The 20,871-nt window shown below is 41.0% G+C and overlaps 1 protein-coding gene and 1 pseudogene across 14 annotated transcripts in view, besides 1 other annotated feature; one reads left to right on the top strand and one right to left on the bottom strand.

Annotated features, from left to right (window-relative positions):
- The window catches only part of ELMO1 (engulfment and cell motility 1), a 596,421-nt gene that overhangs the window by 318,313 nt on the left and 257,237 nt on the right, over positions 1-20,871 (top strand). The gene's annotated exons all lie outside the window — the stretch shown is intronic.
- Positions 13,199-13,700: an enhancer, noted in NCBI's record as "NANOG hESC enhancer chr7:37156919-37157420 (GRCh37/hg19 assembly coordinates)". NCBI's record gives its function as "activates a minimal SCP1, AML or CMV promoter by ChIP-STARR-seq in naive H9 embryonic stem cells {active_cell/tissue: H9 hESC(naive)}" and the evidence as "EXISTENCE:reporter gene assay evidence [ECO:0000049][PMID:30033119]".
- Positions 13,829-14,206, bottom strand: RPS17P13 (ribosomal protein S17 pseudogene 13; annotated as a pseudogene).

The raw sequence follows: 20,871 nt of genomic DNA, 5'->3' as shown, positions 1-20,871 counted from the left end.
TTTTGATTCATGAGCTCAATGGTCTTTTCTGAAACATAAAGATGGGCTCAATCTTTTCAATTTGCATTTTGATAAAAATCCGCCTTTTTGAGGATGTATATCTTCTCTATGAATGCAGTTTTTCATTTATTATTTATATCTTTCATTTGATAAATGCTTATTCTGTACCTGAATATAGCCTCACTATTCACTCTCTTTGCCAGTCAGATTTATAGTTGAGATTAAAAAAAAATTGTAACACACACACACACACACAAACACATGTATATATGCACAAATATTCCCTCGTTGCCCTTGTCACTCCCAGGTATCATGGTCCCTCACCCACTTTCTAGCCATATGTTCCCAAGTTGTTTTTTGCCCTGTGTTCAACTTGCCTGCCACTCACTTTTCAGCATCCTGCTCCAAGACTTCTCTCCATTGCTTTCTGGAAGCTGTATTGCCAAATGCAGAGCACTTTCCTCATCCTTTGTCTCGTTGGCCTTGCCCTTGACACCTGACACTCTCTAGTGACCAGTCCTCTCTTGCCCAGCAGCCAGTGATCTGTCTTGGCTCTGTTGCTGACCGTTGCTCTTAGTCTCTCTGGCAGGTTTCTCCTCCACCTGCCCATGAAATGCACAGGCCCCCAGGACTCTGTCTCTGGACCTTTGCTTGTCTCAGTCCCTCAGGCTGCACATTTCCTAAGTAACCATCAAATGCCCAGCCATGAGCCAAAGGATGGGGATTCCTCAAGAAAACAAGTTGCTCATGGGTCCTGACATTGAGGAGTTCACTGTCTAGAGATCAAAAGTAGAGGTGGTGGTGGTGGGGTGGGGGGTGAAGAGACAAATACCAGGCAGTTTCCAAGTCACTTGTCATGTGTCTTGATTGAGTATGCTGGGAACACAGAGGAAAGTCACCAACACAGATGTGGGGGTCAGGTCAGGAAAGCTTCCTGGAGGAAGTGACATCTAGGCTCAGAACTGTTGAATAGTACTAGTTAACTAGGTGAAGGGAAGAGATGGAGAGTACTACCTCATGTGGATGGAACCATGAGAGCAAAGGTACAATGGTGCCTGCTTTGTTCAGGGAGCCACAGTAGTATAGGATGGCCAGGGCAGGGACTGGCAAACGGGGCATGGCTTGTGAGGCAAATGTGCTACTTCAGTGGGGATGTCTTAAGCCATCTGAAGAGGTCTGTTGGACCTAAAGGCAGTGAAGAATTTCTGAAGTGTTTTAAATGAAGATGAGAATTAAGTTTAGACAAATCACTGTCCCGCTAGAAAACCAATGTGAGAAATCAAGACCAGAGGCAAAAATAAAATGTGGGAAATTATAGAGAAATGGAGATAACTTGAACTAGGGTAGTGGGAGTGGCAATGAAATGGAGCAGTTTGAATGAGTTACTTTGGAACTAAAATCAACTTGACCTTCTCCGAGGAAGAGGGAGGTTTCTGCCTTGAGTGGGAGGTAGACAGTGGTGCCATTAAGGAAACAGATAATGCAGGTCTGTGAAGGGGCAGGCATTTGGACCATCCAGACTCTTACATGCATGTGGGACATCTGTCTAGGAGGACATATGCCGTAGGCAGTGAGATCTGGGTGGCTGAGCTGAGACCCACGTAGACATCACAATCTATATTCTAACTCCTTAAGCATTCTTATTCCCTCCAATTCATTCTTCTGTATTGTCACAATATTATCTTAGTGGCCTCCTTGCTAATGTCTGGAACCTTCAAACCCATCTTCCGTGCCAGTTGCTAGGATGATCTTCCTAAAGAGTTCCGAGTGCTTCAAGGGACCATGCCTGGCCCACAGCCTATCTCTGTGGCTTTATCTCTTGCTACCAACTTCCCTTTCCCTCTTTCCATCCCCCCACCACCATAGTAGCCTTTGTCTATATAAATGATGGTAGGCCAAACTAGCCAGGCAAGTCTCTACCACTGTGTCTTTGCTCCCGTTCTTGTTTCTGCTTGAGTGCCTGTCCCACATCATGTGCCTGTTGGACAGCCCTCATGGCAAAGGCCATGTTCTGTCTGAAGAAGACTTCCTGACCCTCTACCCGGATGACTCCATCCACTCTCTTTGCACCGTGGACACACAATTTAAATCCTAGAACATTGTACAGCCTTAAATGTATTTACTTTCTATTTCCCCTAATTGATTGTAAATGTCTTGTGAGCAGGCACCAAGGTTCATTTATATTCTAGCCCCTGGCACAGAGCCTAGCACATAGTGGCTTTTAATCATTTCTTGTAATTCACATGAGTAAAGAGCTTTTTTTAGTTCTGGTTTAAATAGTCTCTTGACCATGATAAATGCTTTTTTTACCATTGGAGAATCATGGCTTTTGTTCCTCCTAACAGTTATAAAGGTATATTTTTGATATGTGAATTTTGTGATGGACAGCCTGGTTTCTCATGTTATATTTGAATAAAGTTTTGTAACTGTGTACTGATGAAAGCAGTGGGTGTAACTGAATTACCCCAAAACTTGGACGGGCACAGAACATGAGGAGGAATTGCAAATCTGAGTATCCTACTGTGCATGGAGTAAAATCTGGAGGCATAGCATGATTTCAGACTTCCGAGTCTTACTTACTCTGGGTATAATTGCTTTTACTTTTTCTAGAAATGTTTCACTCCCCAGCTTTCCAGACCAGAGGAATGGTACAAGGCTGTCTCAATAAGGAGACAAGTGGAGGGAGGGTTCTTGGCTCATGCCCATGAGCCTGCTGTCATTATTTTCAGAGACAAGATAATGGTACAGAGTTGAGCGTGTTGTAGATGTTTTGTTTTTCTTTTTTTATGTTTATGTTTTTTGTTTGTTTGTTTGTTTGTTTAAGATACAGTCTCACTCTTTTGCCCAGGCTGCAGTGCAGTGGTGCATTTTCAGCTCACCACAGTCTCCGTGTCCTGGGTTCAAGTGATTCTCATGCTTCAGCCTCCCAAGTAGCTGGGGCTACAGGCACGCACCACCATGCCCAGCTAATTTTTGTATTTTTAGTAGAGATGGGGTTTCGCCGTGTTGGCCAGGCTGGTCTTGAACTCCTGACCTCAGATGATCTGCCCGCCTTGGCCTCCCAAATTGTTGGGATTACAGGTGTGAGTCACCGAGCCCAGCCAAATTTATGTTCTTGATGTATTTAATTTTATTCACTGGGAACTACTGAAAAACCCAAATTACCTGGTTTTAGCTTGGCTGAAGACCTATGCTGGCCAATGTGGGAGCCAAGATTCAACCACAAAGCAGGAAGCAATGGCAAGGAAACCTAGGGCTCTCTCAAAGGTGGAACTGGAATAATAAGAAATACTTAAGAAAAAGGCTATGACTAGCAGATAGGGTGATCTCAGGATAATGTAATTCTTCATGGTAATATTCACCTTCCCGTTTGGCCAGAGCAAATGAATACCTAGTGTGGGTTTGGTAACATGCAAGACAGGCTGCATAGTTGAGCTCAGTCTTCAAGTAATCCCTAGGAACAAGCATTGTTATCACCATTTTATAAATTCAGGAGCTGGGACTTAGAGAGGTACAGAGAGTTTGGTCTGTCAAACAGCCAGTAGACAAGCCTCCAAATCTCAGGCTTCTTCCAGTTCTGTAGCCTCGTCTCTGGGCTTGGAGTATGATGAGGGAAACAGTGTTGTCATTCTTGGAATGGAGGGAAAGGGGACAGAGTCAAAGAGAGAATAATTAGAAAACATGGAAAGTCCACAGGACTATCAAACAAGTCGTCATATTCAGTTAAAGATCTTCTGAAGTCTAGCATGGTCAGGAAGCCATTTCTAAAGATACTTGATTGACACCCAAAAGATGCTATTTTAAGGAATAAGTGGGCCCAGGGAAGGTATCATTGCAAAGCTTTTCATGTGTCAGAGATAGTCTTTAGTTTCAGAGTAGTGATAGGAGAAGTAACATGCAGAAGTATTCAGATGTTCAGAACCTATTGTCAGTCATCTGACCCCTCTTGGCATTACAGTGAGACAGAAGCAAACTGTGCATTAATCCCAGGCTCTAAAAAAGTTAGATAAACATTTAACGCCCAACAATAAAATCCGAATGCATGCAAATGAGATGTTTCTATTATTGATTACATCTTTTTCAGAGGGAAAAAATACACATAGAAAACAGAAACAGTCCATCTTCTTAGGCGCTAAAAAGTATCCAACTAAAAGAAGAAAAATCCTTTTAACATTCATATTCATTCATTCATTCATTGACTTTTTCATGAAATATTATCAAACACCTACCACGTGCCTGCGTGGAGCCATGCGCAGTGGCTGTGGTGGTGAAGAAAGGCAGGATCTGATTCTGAAATACCTGACATGGAAAAGCAATCAAGTGAAGGCAGTATTTGTTTATTTGTTTTTTACTTGAGAGTTTCCTTGTTTCCTTTGGGATTTTTAGATGTGACTTATGCTGGGCACAACTATCAAGTTATAAAAACGTTGCTTGATACTTCTTTGCAGTTTTTCACAATATATTGAGCAGGTAAATATTTCATTATTTTGTAAGTTATTATACTGTTTATATCAGAATCACTTAGGCTTGCCCCCTTTCCCAGTGACCTAATTTTAAACAACGGCACTGCTTCTTAGAGAAGTATTCTGTTGGGCAGTCAGTATGGAATAGAACAAGCCTGACCCCTTTTCTCTGTTTGATTCGGCATGGTGCTATGTGATAAATAAAATATTTTCTTTTCTTTTATATATATATATATATATATATATATATTTAAATTATACTTTAAGTTCTAGGGTACATGTGCACAACATGCAGGTTTGTTACATATGTATACATGTGCCATGTTGGTGTGCCGCACCCATTAACTAGTCATTTACATTAGGTATATCTCCTAATGCTATCCCTCCCCACTCCTCCCACCCCACATCAGGCCCCAGTGTGTGATGTCCCCCTTCCTGTGTCCAAGTGTTCTCATTGTTCAGTTCCCACCTATAAGTGAGAACATGCGATGTTTGGTTTTTTGTCCTTGCAATAGTTTGCTGAGAATGATGGTTTCCAGCTTCATCCATGTCCTTACAAAGGACATGACCTCATCATTTTTTATGGCTGCATAGTATTCCATGGTGTATATGTGCCACATTTTCTTAATCCAATCTATCATTGTTGGACATTTGGCTTGGTTCCAAGTCTTTCCTATTGTGAATAGTGCCACAATAAACATACGTCTGCATGTGTCTTTATAGCAGCATGATTTATAATCCTTTGGGTATATACCCAGTAATGGGATGGCTGGGTCAAATGGTATTTCTAGTTCTCGATTCTTGAGGAATCACCACACTGTCTTCCACAATGGTTGAACCAGTTTATAGTCCCACCAACGGTGTAAAAGTGTTCCTGTTTCTCCACATCCTCTCCAGCACTTGTTGTTTCCTGACTTTTTAATGATTGCCATTCTAACTGGTGTGAGATGGTATCTCTTTGTATCTCTTTGTGCTTTTGCTTTGCATTTCTCTGATGGCCAGTGATGATGAGCATTTCTTCATGTGTCTGTTGGCTGCATAAATGTCTTCTTTTGAGAAGTGTCTGTTCATATCCTTAGCCCACTTGTTTATGGGGTTGTTTGATTTTTTCTTGTAAATTTGTTTGAGTTCTTTGTAGATTCTGGATATTAGCCCTTTGTCAGATGAGTAGATTGCAAAAATTTTCTCCCATTCTGTAGGTTGCCTGTTCACTCTGATGGTAGTTTCTTTTGCTGTGCAGAAGCTCTTTAGTTTAATTACATCCCATTTGTCAATTTTGGCTTTTGTTGCCATTGCTTTTGGTGTTTTAGACATGAAGTCCTTGCCCGTGCCTATGTCCTGAATGGTAATGCCTAGGTTTTCTTTTAGGGTTTTTATGGTTTTAGGTCTAACATTTAAGTCTTTAATCCATCTTGAATTAATTTTTGTATAAGGTGTAAGGAAGGGATCCAGTTTCAGCTTTCTACATATGGCTAGCCAGTTTTCCCAGCACCATTTGTTAAATAGGGAATCCTTTCCCCATTTCTTGTTTTTGTCAGGTTTGTCAAAGATCAGATAGTTGTAGAAGTGTGGTATTATTTCTGAGGGCTCTGTTCTGTTCCATTGATCTATATCTCTGTTTTGGTACCAGTACCATGCTGTTTTGGTTACTGTAGCCTTATAGTATAGTTTGAAGTCAGGTAGTGTGATGCCTCCAGCTTTGTTCTTTTGGCTCAGGATTGACTTGGCAATGTGGGCTCTTTTTTGGTTCCATATGAACTTTAAAGTAGTTTTTTCCAATTCTGTGAAGAAAGTCATTGGTAGCTTGATGGGGATGGCATTGAATCTATAAATTACCTTGAGCAGTATGGCCATTTTCATGATATTGATTCTTCCTACCCATGAGCATGGAATGTTCTTCCATTTGTTTGTATCCTCTTTTATTTTGTTGAGCAGTGGTTTGTTGTTCTCCTCGAAGAGGTCCTTCACGTCCCTTGTAAGTTGGATTCTTAGGTATTTTATTCTCTTTGAAGCAATTGTGAATGGGAGTTCATTCATGATTTAGCTCTCTGTTTGTCTGTTATTGGTGTATAAGAGTGCTTGTGATTTTTGCACATTGATTTTGTATCCTGAGACTTTGCTGAAGTTGCCTATCAGCTTAAGGAGATTTTGGGCTGAGATGATGGGGTTTTCTAGAAAAAGAGTCATGTCATCTGCAAACAGGGACAATTGGACTTCCTCTTTTCCTAATTGAATACCCTTTATTTCTTTCTCCTGCCTGATTGCGCTAGGCAGAACTTCCAACACTATGTTGAATAGGAGTGGTGAGAGAGTGCATCCCTGTCTTGTGCAACTTTTCAAAGGGAATGCTTCCAGTTTTTGCCCATTCAGTATGATATTGGCTGTGGGTTTGTCATAGATAGCTCTTATTATTTTAAGATACGTCCCATCAATACCTAATTTATTGAGAGTTTTTAGCATGAAGGGCTATTGAATTTTGTCAAACTTTTCTGCATCTGTTGAGGTAATCATGTGGTTTTTGTCGTTGGTTCTGTTTGTATGCTGGATTATGTTTATGGATTTGCATATGTTGAACCAGCCTTGCATCCCAGGGATGAAGCCCACTTGATCATGGTGGCTAAGTTTTTTGATGTGCTGCTGGATTCGGTTTGCCAGTATTTTACTGAGGATTTTTGCATCAATGTTCATCAAGGATATTGGTCTAAAATTCTCTTTTTTTGTTGTGTCTCTGCCAGGCTTTGGTATCAGGATGATGCTGGCCTCATGAAATGAGATAGGGAGGATTCCCTCTTTTTCTGTTGATAGGAATAGTTTCAGAAGGAATGGTACCAGCTCCTCTTTGTACCTCTGGTAGAATTCAGCTGTGAATCTGTCTGGTTCTGGACTTTTTTTGGTTGGTAAGCTATTAATTATTGCCTCAATTTCAGAGCCTGTTATTGGTCTATTCAGAGATTCAACGTCTTCCTGGTTTAGTCTTGGGAGGGTGTATGTGTCGAGGAATTTATCCATTTCTTCTAGATTTTCTAGTTTATTTATGTAGAGGTGTTTATAGTATTCTCCGATGGTAGTTTGTATTTCTGTGGGATTGGTGGTGATACCCCCTTTATCATTTTTTATTGCGTCTATTTGATTCTTCTCTCTTTTCTTCTTTATTAGTCTTGCTAGTGGTCTATCAGTTTTGTTGATCTTTTCAAAAAAGCAGCTCCTGGATTCATTGATTTTTTTGAAGGGTTTTTTATGTCTCTATCTCCTTCAGTTCTGCTCTGATCTTAGTTACTTCTTGCCTTCTGCTAGCTTTTGAATGTGTTTGCTCTTGCTTCTCTAGTTCTTTAAATTGTGAAGTTAGGGTGTCAATTTTGGATCTTTCCTGCTTTCTCTTGTGGGCATTTATTGCTATAAATTTCCCTCTACACACTGCTTTAAATGTGTCCCAGAGATTCTGGTATGTTGTGTCTTTGTTCTCACTGGTTTCAAAGAACATCTTTATTTCTACTTTCATTTTGTTATGTACCTAGTAGTCATTCAGGAGCAGGTTGTTCAGTTTCCATGTAGTTGAGCAGTTTTGAGTGGGTTTCTTAATCCTGAGTTCCAGTTTGGTTGCACTGTGGTCTGAGAGACAGTTTGTTATAATTTATGTTCTTTTACATTTGCTGAGGAGTGCTTTACTTCTAACTATGTGGTCAATTTTGGACTAGGTGTGGTGTGGTGCTGAGAAGAATGTATATTCTGTTGATTTGGGGTGGAGAGTTCTGTAGATGTCTATTAGGTCCGCTTGGTGGAGAGCTGAGTTCAATTCCTGGATATCCTTATTAACTTTCTGTCTCATTGATCTGTCTAATGTTGACAGTGGGGTGTTAAAGTCTCCCATTATTATTGTGTGGGAGTCTAAGTCTCTTTGTAGTCTCTAAGGACTTGCTTTATGAATCTGGTGCTCCTGTATTGGGTGCATATATATTTAGGATCGTTAACTCTTCTTGTTGAATTGATCCCTTTACCATTGTGTAATGGCCTTCTTCGTCTCTTTTGATCTTTGTTGCTTTAAAGTCTGTTTTATCAGAGACTAGGATTCCAACCCCTGCCTTTTTTTGTTTTCCATTTGCTTGGTAGATCTTCCTCCATCCCTTTATTTTGAGTGTGTGTGTGTCTCTGCATGTGAGATGGGTTTCCTGAATACAGCACACTGATGGGTCTTGACTCATTATCCAATTTGCCAGTCTGTGTCTTTTAATCGGAGTATTTAGCCCATTTGCATTTAAGGTTAATATTGTTATGTTTGAATTTGATCCTGTCATTATGATGTTGGCTGGTTATTTTGCTCGTTAGTTGATGCAGTTTCTTCCTAGTCTCAATGGTCTTTACAATTTGGCATGATTTTGCAGTGGCTGGTACCGGTTGTTCCTTTCCATGTTTAGTGCTTCCTTCAGGAGCTCTTTTAGGGCAGGCCTTGTGGTGACAAAAATCTCTCAGCATTTGTTTGTCTCTAAAGGATTTTATTTCTTCTTCACTTATGAAGCTTAGTTTGGCTGGATATGAAATTCTGGGTTGAAAATTCTTTTCTTTAAGAATGTTGAATATTGGCTCCCACTCTCTTCTGGCTTGTAGAGTTTCTGCCGAGAGATCAGCTGTTAGTCTGATGGGCTTCCCTTTGTGGGTAACCCGTCCTTTCTCTCTGGCTGCCCTTAACATTTTTTCCTTCATTTCAACTTTGGTGAATCTGACAATTATGTGTATTATGTGTCTTGGAGTTGCTCTTCTCGAGGAGTATCTTTGTGGCGTTCTCTGTATTTCCTGAATTTGAATGTTGGCCTGCCTTGCTAGGTTGGGGAAATTCTCCTGGATGATATCCTGTAGAGTGTTTTCCAACTTGGTTCCATTCTCCCCGTCACTTTCAGGTACACCAATCAGACGTAGATTTGGTCTTTTCACATAGTCCCATATTTCTTGGAGGCTTTGTTCATTTCTTTTTATTCTTTTTTTCTCTAAACTTCTCTTCTCACTTCATTTCATTCATTTGATCTTCCATCGCTGATACCCTTTCTTCCAGCTGATCGAATTGGCTACTGAAGCTTGTGCATTTATCATGTGGTTCTCATGCCATGGTTTTCAGCTCCATCAGGTCCTTTAAGGACTTCTCTGCATTGGTTATTCTGGTTAGCCATTTGTCTAATCTTTTTTTGAGGTTTTTAACTTCTTTGCGATGGGTTCGACCTTCATCCTTTAGCTCAGAGAAGTTTGATCGTCTGAAGCCTTCTTCTCTGAACTTGTCAAAGTCATTCTCCGTCCAGCTTTGTTCCGTTGCTGGTGAGGAGCTGCGTTCCTTTGGAGGAGGAGAGGCGCTCTGATTTTTAGAATTTTCAGTTTTTCTGCTCTGTTTTTTCCCCATCTTTGTGGTTTTATCTACCTTTGGTCTTTGATGATGGTGACGTGCAGATGGGGTTTTGGTGTGGATGTCCTTTCTGTTTGTTAGTTTTCCTTCTAACAGTCAGGACCTTCAGCTGCAGGTCTGTTGGAGTTTGCTGGAGGTCCACTCCAGACTCTGTTTGCCTGGGTATCAGCAGCGGAGGCTGCAGAACAGCGAATATTGGTAAACAGCAGATGTTGCTGCCTGAATGTTCCTCTAGAAGTTTCGTCTCAGAGGGGTACCCGGCTGTGTGAGGTGTCAGTCTGCCCCTACTGGGGGGTGCCTCCCAGTTAGGCTACTTAGGGGTCAGGGACCCACTTGAGGAGGCAGTCTGTCCATTCTCAGATCTCAAGCTGCATGCTGGGAGAACCACTACTCTCTTCTAAGCTGTCAGACAGGCACATTTAAGTCTGCGGAGATTTCTGCTGCCTTTTGTTCGGCTATGCCTTGCCCTCAGAGGTGGAGTCTACAGAGGCAGGCAGGCCTCCTTGAGCTGAGGTGGGCTCCACCCAGTTTGAGCTTCCCGGCCACTTTGTTTACCTACTCAAGCCTCAGCAATGGCGGGTGCCCCTCCCCTAGACTCGCTGCCGCGTTGAAGTTTGATCTCAGACTGCTATGCTAGCAACAAGCAAGGCTCTGTGGGCGTGGGACCCTCTGAGCCAGACGTGGGATATGATTTCCTGGTGTGCCGTTTGCTAAAACCGTCAGAAAAGCGCAGTATTAGGGTGGGAGTGACCCAATTTCCCAGGTGCTGTTTGTTACCCCTTCCCTTGGCTAGGAAAGGGAATTCCCTGACCCCTTGCGCTTGTCGGGTGAGGCAACGCCTCTCCCTGCTTCGGGTCACGCTTGGTGCGCTGCACCCACTGTCCGACAATCCCCAGTGAGATGAACCCAGTATCTCAGTTTGAAATGCAGAAATCACCCGTTTTCTGAGTTGCTCACGCTGGGAGCTGTAGACTGGAGCTGTTCCTATTTGGCCATCTTGGAACCTGGACCCCAAATATTTTCTTAATTAAACTGCTACACAACCAGTTGATAAAATCCTACTCAACAAAGCTGTTACCCAACGGAATTTGTATAATCTTGAGGTTTCCAGGAAAAAATTTAAAAGTAAATCTTGGAAACTGTTTGTTCCTTACATATCTGGCAATTCTTTTTTGTTTTCTAGTTTTATCGAGATATAATTGCTTACCCAAAAAATCACATAATTAATGTATACAATCTGGAGACAGAACCTTGCTTCAGCGTCCCTCATAATTTATGATTAACATTTCATCTAGTTGGAAAATCTTTGCATACTGGCTGACTGTTATAGAAGATAATGAATTTCCTGAGGGGGGAGAATAGAAATGCCTTTAAAAATAAGATTAATCACAATGTTTTCGTGCAGTTGTGAGACAGAGCATATATATGTTTCTAATATTATGCCAAATCAGAAGACAAATATTTGTAATATGTCAAGTAAATAAGTCTATGAGTAAAGATGGCTATTTCTACTGAAGAATTGTTTTCTCAAGATTGTTTCATTATAGCCACTTTTTTAAACAGATGAAGAATTTAAAGTATGTTTAGTTTACACTATTTTAAAACCTTTAAGTGGGTTTTTCCTCCTCATGATGCAATGCATATTACATCATACTTACAAAAAATAGTTGGGAGAAATAATGATTTAGATCCTAACTAATGGTTGGGACAGGGAGGCCTGGATTTTTTGAGGCAGCAACCTAAAGAAAATGCTCTGAAATTACCTAGCGTGAGAAAAGCTACTATCTTTTGAGCCTTTACTATGTTCTGAGTACTTAACATACATTATTTGTAATTTCCCTTCAATGTTCCCAGACATGGGAAGATAAAGAAACCTTATGCCCTTTCCTTCCAGTCTGTAGATCTCTCTGTTCTTCTCCTCAAGGCCCACCTCAAGTTCAGAGTCATTTTGGGGAATCTCTTTTCAGCCTTTCCAGTCAGGGAGCTAAACATCAATGATCACAGCAATCACATGTTTGGAGCTCACTAGAACAACTAAGCTGAGTATTTTCATTTATTTCTTGCACCACCCCTCTGAGGTTGCCACTGTTACTGTTTGCATTTTACAGACGAGGAAACTGACACATGGAGAGGTTAAGTGGTTTGTCCAAAGTCACACAGCTAAGGTAGTACCAGAGCTGAATTTTAAATCCAGATAATATGTGTCCATTGTCCATACTGTGTGCTTTTGAGAGGCTTATAGATTCATATGGAGGTGGTAGCCACAGTTCAAATGAGTCCTACAGATGTGTTTTGCTTCACTGACCCAGTGTTATTAAAAAGAAGAGAATTTGATTGCCTTTTTTCAGGGCTTACACTCCCTCCCCAATTAACTTAGAGCCCCAGACACCTTCTTGTATTATGGCTGACTGCTTCATGCTTTCTGGTTATCTGCCTGGTACTTGAAGGCACTCGAGTTAGTGCCCGTTGATGATGATAGTCTGTAATAACATTTGTGAAGTTCTGAGCACACCGCCAGCACATAGAAGGTGCTTCAACCATTTGAGTTGATTGTTCCCGTTCCCACTCCTTAAAGTAGTACTTGATTGATGTACAGCCTTCTGAGAGTTTCATATGTATTTGCTCGGTGTTTATCTTTTCATCCTTGTAAACTCCCAGAAAGCAGGCATTTCATCTTTGGTTGGGTGTTTATTCCCTGGCTGAGAATGAAGGACTTTAATCCCAACCTCCTGAGACTGAAGAAAAGGAAAAGGCATGTTTCCCAGTTTCTCCTGTTGTGAGTTTTAAAGAAAAAAGTCACACGAGTATATTATAAACAGACTGCACTGGACCAGTGCTCTGGGAGCTCTGAGCATCATCAGCCCTCTGTACCAGGAGTCAGACCATAGAGTGGATCCCTCGCAGGACAACAGTATGCATTGAAGGGAACAGGAACCAAGTAGCCTCTGTGCATTAAGGCAGGGTGCTGGTGGAGGCGACGCCAAGACTTTAAAATAAACTAAGGGACTTCTAACATTTCAAGGGGGAATTTGGCGGTTCCCCAAGCGACATAATTACAGGACAGTGTGTAATGTGCAATTAAACTTAACTATGAAGCAAATGATTGGAATAATGCTTAGTGCACAACAGTTTTTTGTTCCCATTGTGCTGACAGAGCCTCCCCTTCTCTCGTCCCTGAAATGGCTTCAACAGCAATTGCTCTTCATTTTTTTAAAAATAAAATTATATGTTGCCAGTTAAACACACAATTCCATGTAAAGGAACCTTTTTTTATCTGAGTGACATTTTTCTTCTAGGTGATGTGGAGAAAGGATTCAGTTTAGAATAACAAGGACCCCAAAGGCACAGCCTTGTTGGGACGTTTGAGTTTGAAATGATTCTTTGTCTCATAATTCATTTACTTTTTTCCTGGCTTTAATTTTTGTTCTTTCTTTAACCAAGGTCCACAGCTTGGAGGCTTGTTTGTATATACAGGATTTTTTCATGTTTTAAAAATAGTGGCATTAATTTCGTTGATTGTGAATAACCAAGCTGTTACTGCCAAACAATCGGGACCCCTTGAGAGTGTGAATATGTGATTAGATTTACTAATTGAGCTGGAAGGAAGAATTTCTGACTTCCAAAGCCAGTGATTTGAATGGAATGCTTCAAGCATGAGGATGAGATCATTGTTAAATGTGGGCTTGGTTTTATCTCAGAAGACCCCTTGTCCCAGGGAGGGAGGGCAGATTCCACAAACCTCTATTAGCTGACTGTAGCAGTGCCTGCGTGGTGTGCTCACACCACCTCGGATGCTCACCTGTGTTCTTGTGGTGCTGGATGAGGTGTCTGAAATCTGAAGCAGACCTGAAAGCTGGTAGTTATCTCCTTGTCTCTCTTGGTACCACCCCAAGCTGAGCATTAGGTTCAGAATGCTTGCTTGTTTGTTTGCCGTTGTCTCAGGTTAACTGAAAATACTACAGCATTGCAGAAAAATCCAAACAGCTCCACGTGGTGTTTTGAAATTTATCCCAACTGTAGGCTGAGTGACCCGCAGGTTGGACAGTCTGTGAAAGCCCCAAAGTCTCAGTGTTTCCTCAGTGTCAGGACCTACTTTAGTGATCTCCAGGTCCAGGGCTAAGATCTCAGGAACATAATTATCTCTCCTTTTTTCTCTCTCTTCCTCCCACAACTTGATGGAGATGCCTCTCACTGGGCCTCTCCAAATATCCTCCATCAGATGCAGGATGTAGCCTGCCCTCTTGTTGCGGAGCTTCTTGCCAGAGATAATGGTGATCTCCTTGCCCACACACTCGTTCCTGTGGAAGTCATTGCCGAGGCACATGTAGTACTTTTCTAGGATGACCCAGGCTGCCTTTCCATGGTTTTGATGCAAAAGCAGCCCATCTTGGAGAGTCCTTGGTGAAAGAGGTTTCAGACTTTCTTACTTAGCATTCTCCAAAGGTTTTTTGTTGGTGGTGGTGGTGGTTTTTCTCTTTTCTTTTTTTTTTTTTAATTTTAAAACACAGTGGGACTTTAAAACAGTGATGGATTTGTTGAGAAAAAAGTGAAGCTAAGCTGTATAGTGAACTATATGTAGTTGACATATTGTAAACACAAGTCTAATGTGAATTGAAAGGTTAAAAACTTCAGAAGGATCACATGTTCCTGACTCCCTCACTGAGGTACCAGCCAAGACTTAGCTCACAGTAACTGTTGTGGTTTCTCTATCTTAGATCCAGTTAGTATCTTTCCATTATTTCTCCAACCCAGTTCTCCAAATTCAGCCCATATTGTCCATTTTTATGTCTTGTTTAGCTAGTTAAATATTTATTGAGTACAGTACCTGCTCTGTGACAAGCCCTCTTTCTTTCTGCTGTAATTGACCAAGCTTCCACCTTTAAATGTGCATTTTTCTACCTTAGCTGTGCAGAGCTCAGCAGCTGCTGTGCTGGGGTTTCGCTATTTCTTCTCCCTTTTCTGCTTTAATTGTTGTAATGCAGGAGTTCAAAGAACTGCAGCTCACTTCTTATTTCTTTGAAGGGGAAAGGTTTCTGGGACTCCTCTCTCTTCTGTTTTTCTCAAGAGAATGCAGACCTCTCTGCCTTTTTAATTTTTTAATTAATAGACATTGTGTTTTAGAACAGTTTTAGGTTTACAGAAAAGTTGAGCAAAAGTACAGAGGGTTCGTATATATCCCATCTCTCATTTCTCCCACACACAGCTTTCTCTGTTATTAACATCTCACATTAGAATGGCTCATTTGTTACAATTGATAAGCCAATATCTTGCAGTCTTGCTGTAATTGTTTATTAGTTCCAAGATTTTATGTATTAATTCCTTGGAATTTTCTACATAGACAATCATGTCCCCTGTGAACAAAGACAGTTTTGTTTCCTCCTTCCCAGTCTGTACACCCTTTTTTTTTTTTTCTTATTGCACTAGCTAGGACTACCAGTAAGATGTTACATAGGGGTGATAGGAGCGACCATCTTAGCCTTGATCCTGATCCTAGGGCAGAGTCAAGTTTCTCATCATTAAGTATGATGTTAGCCATAAGTTTTATGTAGATGTTCTTTATGTAGCTGAGGAACTGCTCTATTCTTAGTTTGCTGAGAGTTTTTTTTTATCATGAATGAGTGTTAGATTTTATCAAATGGCTTTTCTGTATCTATTGATACCATTATACAACTTTTCTTCTTTAGCCTGTTGATACAATGGTTTACATTAACTGATTTTTGAATGTTGAATGAGCCTTGCATACCTGAAACAAATCCTACTCGGTTGTGGTGCATAATTCTATTTATAGATTGTTGGATTCTATTTGATAATTTTGTGAAGGATATTTACATTTATGTTCATGAGAGCTATATAGATCCGCATTTTTTTTCTTTCTTATGCCTTTGGTTTTGGTATTAGGGTAATACTGGTTTTATAGAATTAGTTAAGAACTACTCCTTCTGCTTCTACCTTCTGGAACAGATTGTAGAGAATTGGTATCATTTTCTTGTTTAAATATGTTATAGAATTCACCAATGAAACCATCCAGGCCTGATACTTTCCATTTTGGAAGGTCATTAATTATTTATTCAATTCCTTTAATAGATATAGGTCTCTTCAGATTGTCTATTTCTTCTTGTGTGGGTTCTTGTAGATTGTGTCTTTCAAGGAATTGGTCCATTTCATTTACATTATCAGATTTTTGAGCATAGACTTGTTCATAATATTCCTTTATTATATACATGAGATCCATAAAGTTGACTCTTCTTTCATTTTTGATGCTAATAATTTATCATTTTCCTTTCATCTTGTTGAGCCTGGCTAGAGATTTGTTGTTTTTATTGATCTTTTCAAAAAACTAGCTTTTGATTTTACTGATTTTTCTATATTGCTTTCCAGTTTTCAATTTCACTGATTTCCACTCCATTATTTTTTTTTACTTCTTTTCTTCAGCTTACTTTAGATTTAATTTGTATTTTTTTAGTTTTCTAAAATGGAAGCTTAGATGCTTGATTTTGTATATTTTTCTCCATTGCTTGAATTCCTCATTGATATTTTGCTACAAATATCCTTCTAGCAATGGCTCTGCCTTCCATAGGGGTTCAGCATGGCTAAACCTACTCAGAACTTTGCTATTTAACTGTTTCATGGCGCTAAATATGGGTTGCCTTGATAAGGCAACCCAGTGACTAAAGTCTCTGGCTCAATGAGTTACTCTTTATTCCATTAAGACCCAGTTACCAACAAACTAACCCCAGCAAATTCTATTTACTCTACTTTCAATCCTATTGACTCTACTTTCAAAATCCTATTGACTCTGCTTTCCAGAAACCTACCTCCTTTCCCCACTTCTACCACCATTACAGTAATCCAGTACATCAAACCTCTCTCCTGTATCTCCTGTAATAGTGTAACAGCCTCTGATTGATATTGCCTGCTCCCACACTTGCTCATCTTTTCTGTCTTCAACACAGTAGCCAGAACGTTAGGAAAGATGCCATAGTGATTCTTCCAGTATTGGTCAGATCACATCACTCATCTGCCTACAACCTCCAGTAACTCAGAGTAAAAACGTTCAGCACTTTTGCCACAGCTCTCAAGGCTCTGCAGTGTTCTGGCTTTCCAGCCTTACGTCCTTCTATCCTACTCCTTCCTCCCTCAACTCCACCCACAGAGATCAGCTAGGGCTGCCATAACAAAATATCACATACTGGGTGGCTTAAACTACAGAACTCTATTTTCTCACAGCTCTGAAGGCTGGAAATCTAAAATCTAGCTACTGGCAGGGTTGGTGTCTCTGAGGCCTCCCTTTTTGGCTTGTAAACGGCTGCCCTCTTGCTGCCTCTCCACATGGCCATCCTTCTGTGCACTCACACCCTGTTGGCACTGCTTCTTATGAGAACACCAATCATACTGGATTCGGACCCTACCCTAATGGCCTCATTTGATTTTAATTACCTCTTTAAAGGCCCTATCTTCAAATACAGTCACATGCTATACAGCGGGTTGGAGCTTCAACATGTGAATTTTGGAAGGGTGCAATTCCGTCCATAGCACCCTTGTTGGCCGTGAACATACCAGGTACCTCTGGTCTCTGGGCCTTTTACTTTTTGCTTTCTCTCCTAGGAATCTGTTCCTGGGTAGCCACATGGCTCATTGCCTCACTTCCATTAGTCTCTGAGCAGCTTTCTGTCACCTCCAGATATAAAGTACTGATTTCATCCTCTTGCTCCCTGTCTACCTTACCTCCTTTATTTCTCTCAAAATTTAATGTTTCTTACATGCTCGATATTCACTGTTTTCTTTATTTCCTGTTCACCCTTACTAGCCAGCAAACCTCATAAAACCACAGAGTATCCATGGTGTCACTGCGGTACCCCAGTGCCCGGGGCAGTGCCAGGCACACAGAAGACAGTCAGCACATATTTGTTAAATGCATGCCTGGATTGAGTGAGTGGCAGGACTCTGCCCAGAGAGTTCTGGTGTTCCACCTTTTGGCAGGATTCACCCCATGGATGGAAACCACAGAAGTAGATCTCTATCTGGAACACGCTCTAACCTCTCTGGATGCAGCTGCCTTTCTGGCCTTTGTCCGTCCTGGAGTGAAAACCAAATTAGAAACTATATCGGTATGCCCCAAAATGGCCTTGCCCCAGATATGCTGATGCTTGGGCTTGGGTGAGTCACTGCTGTCTTCCCTTTTTGAATAGGATTCATGTGACCAGAGCCCAGCCAGTATTAGCAACCTGCCTACCAAATCAGAAGGGATTTTGTATTGGTATAATAAAATTTAGGTGGTAATGTTCCCAAATGTCCCTTTGTATTAGTTAAAAATAGCTTCCCCCTTAGGAACTATGCTGTACACCTGGTGCACCCAGTAGTGGTTGACATTGTCAGATAATTTTATTTTTTCATTGACCTTAATTTTATCAACTTTTTCCCTGCACTGGTAAAACCCAAGGTTCCAAAATTTGGCATACATCATAAATAATAGACAATATTTTTCTTGTATTTTATAAAGCAACTGAAACAATTTTAATAACAGATATAACAACCCTAACAACTAACTTCTCTTTGGTTGGTTTATCAAATGCTGCTCTGTAACACTGGTCCTGATACCTGGAGACTTTTCAAATCTAAGACTCCGGTTAATGTCATTCACACCTGTCTGCAAACTTGCATTTGCCAAGATCAGGAAGGCCAGCCTAGCCAATCTTTCAGTACTTGACTGGTGATGCTCCTATGCCACAGGGCTCTTGCATGTGCTTATTCTGCTGACTCAGCTCCTGCTTTCTCCATCCCTTCCCTGCTTGCCCACTTATCCCTGGATTAATCCTGCAGAACCTCACCCTTTAGGCTCCTCTTTCATTAGTTTTGCTTCCATGTCACTCCCTTTATAGCACTTAGTTTGGAATTATATAATCGTATGTTTTACTATTTGATTATTATCTCTCTTAACATGAAATTTTTGAGCAGGAACCATCTCTTTTGCCCTATGCCCTTACTTTCTGTCACTGGACCATCTAAATTAAATGAATGATGAAAGATAGGATGTGTTGAATCTCTGAACAGGGTTGTGTTCCTCTTTTTTCCCCCTCTGAAGTCCTTTATGGCCTTAAGTGATATTTTTCAGAAGATCAAAACTGAAGCATAACTTGGAAGGAATCTCTTTTTCCTTGACCTGGTGGGACCATCAAATTGGGCAGAGTTTGAGCTACACAGGATAAAGCCTTACAACAAATCTCAGTTATGAAAGCCATGAAGATGTGCATATGTTCCATGAGCAGACATGAGTTCTCTATAAGCCAATGATGAAGAAGACCAACATTTAGTTAGTTTTCAACAGAAGGGTCAGTTCTGCTGATAGCTTGGCAGCTTGGGGCTCTACTCTGCATATGGTAGGAACAAAAAGAAAGCTAAACTATATTGAGTAGTGAATGTTTCCAGGCTATGGTTATGAACATTTTATATGCATTACCTTATTGAATTCTCACTATCATTGTACCCATTTTGCAGATGAGAGCGCTGAGGCTCAGAAAGGTCAAGTAAATTGCCCATTGCTACAATAGATAGTAAGTTGCAAATGGGGACTTTGGACCCAGACAGCTCTGGTGGTGACTTTTTAATACTTTACATTGAATTTGGTAGTATGCTAGTACAAAAGTTTTTCTTAAAAGAAAATCTGATTAGTATTGCAGCATTTGCTGGTTTCTGTGGTATCAATACTCCTGCTGTGGCCGATTTCAAGCTCCCAACAGTCTATGGCCTGTAAGCCTTTTGAAAGTGATGCAGCAGCTGGTTAGCCTGCTCTAGCACCAGCCACTGGATCTTGATGGTGCTTTTGCCTTCTCATGCATTATCCCATTTGCTCTTCTTAGCAATATGAGGGACTGTGGAATGGGTGAGGTTAACTTACGTGTGCTGATCTTTTCAATGGGTGAGTCATGTGTCCAGTCCATAATGCCAAGTCATGGCCTGAGGTGAGAAACACTCTCTTACTGACTCTCTCAGGGCAGGAGCCTGCAGAGAACGCAGAGCTGGACCAAGAGCCCCAAGGAACCTACTGTCAGAATGGCTGAGGTACAAACAAAAGAGGATCTGGACAGGAAGAGAGAGGCCCACATGGTCCTGGGGCAGCTGATGCTGGTAGAATGTGGTGGTAAACGGGGTAGGAGAATGAAGTAACTGAGAGTCTTTTCTGAATTCAGAATTTTCTTAATTCTCTGAATTCATAAATATGTATTTGATGTAGGAATTCTTCCCCAAAGAGCTTACCAAAAAATCCCCTACGCTCACCACCATACCCAGCCATGCAAGGGTGCAGCTGCTTGGAGGAGAGGAAATCCTGGATTCTTTCAGGATTAGGGAGTGGCTGTCATGGTCCATGGCTGGGGAGAGCCACAGCATGGGGCTGATTGGGAAAGTCTGGGGGGCCCCATAGCCCCTTTCTTCTTCCATCAGAGGAGACTGTGGATTTTTCTTTCCCATGATAAATCTAGGTGAGCCGGTGAAATGATTTTAAAGGGAACTCCTCCATTGCTTTGGGAAGTGTGAAATGACATCATTTTTAGATTATGGTTTATCAATACTTATATATATATATTTAAATTATACTTTAAGTTCTGGGATACATGTGCAGAACATGCAGGTTTGTTACATAGGTATACTTTAAGTGGCAGAAATGCTGAGACCTTTTGACTTAACGTTTATGTTTTTAGAAACGTACTTAAAATAAATCATTTTGCAAATCAGCGTAAAAGTTGCTGTGTAAGGATGTTTGTCATTAGCTCCAGTCAGGTGCAGATGTGAGGACCTCTGGGCAGAGGTAGGGGACCTGGAGATGAAGCTGAGAGTGAGGCTGGTGTTCCCTGGGCACCTGTGCAGATACAAATACAGCCAGGCAGCTGGGCCTCTTCGCCTTGGCAGGCTTAATTAAGCACATTGGATTTGTGTCCTTGTATTTCTTAAAAAAGGAAAGAATTCTGAAATGAAGAAAAAAAGTAGCCTTTTTGGCATGTAACATCTGCGAGATAATTAATCTCC

This window comes from Homo sapiens, chromosome 7, assembly GCF_000001405.40.
Source record: "Homo sapiens chromosome 7, GRCh38.p14 Primary Assembly".
Lineage (NCBI taxonomy): Eukaryota > Metazoa > Chordata > Mammalia > Primates > Hominidae > Homo > Homo sapiens.
The sequence above is the reverse complement of the archived record's forward strand: the minus strand, read 5'-3'. Positions and strand labels throughout refer to the sequence as shown.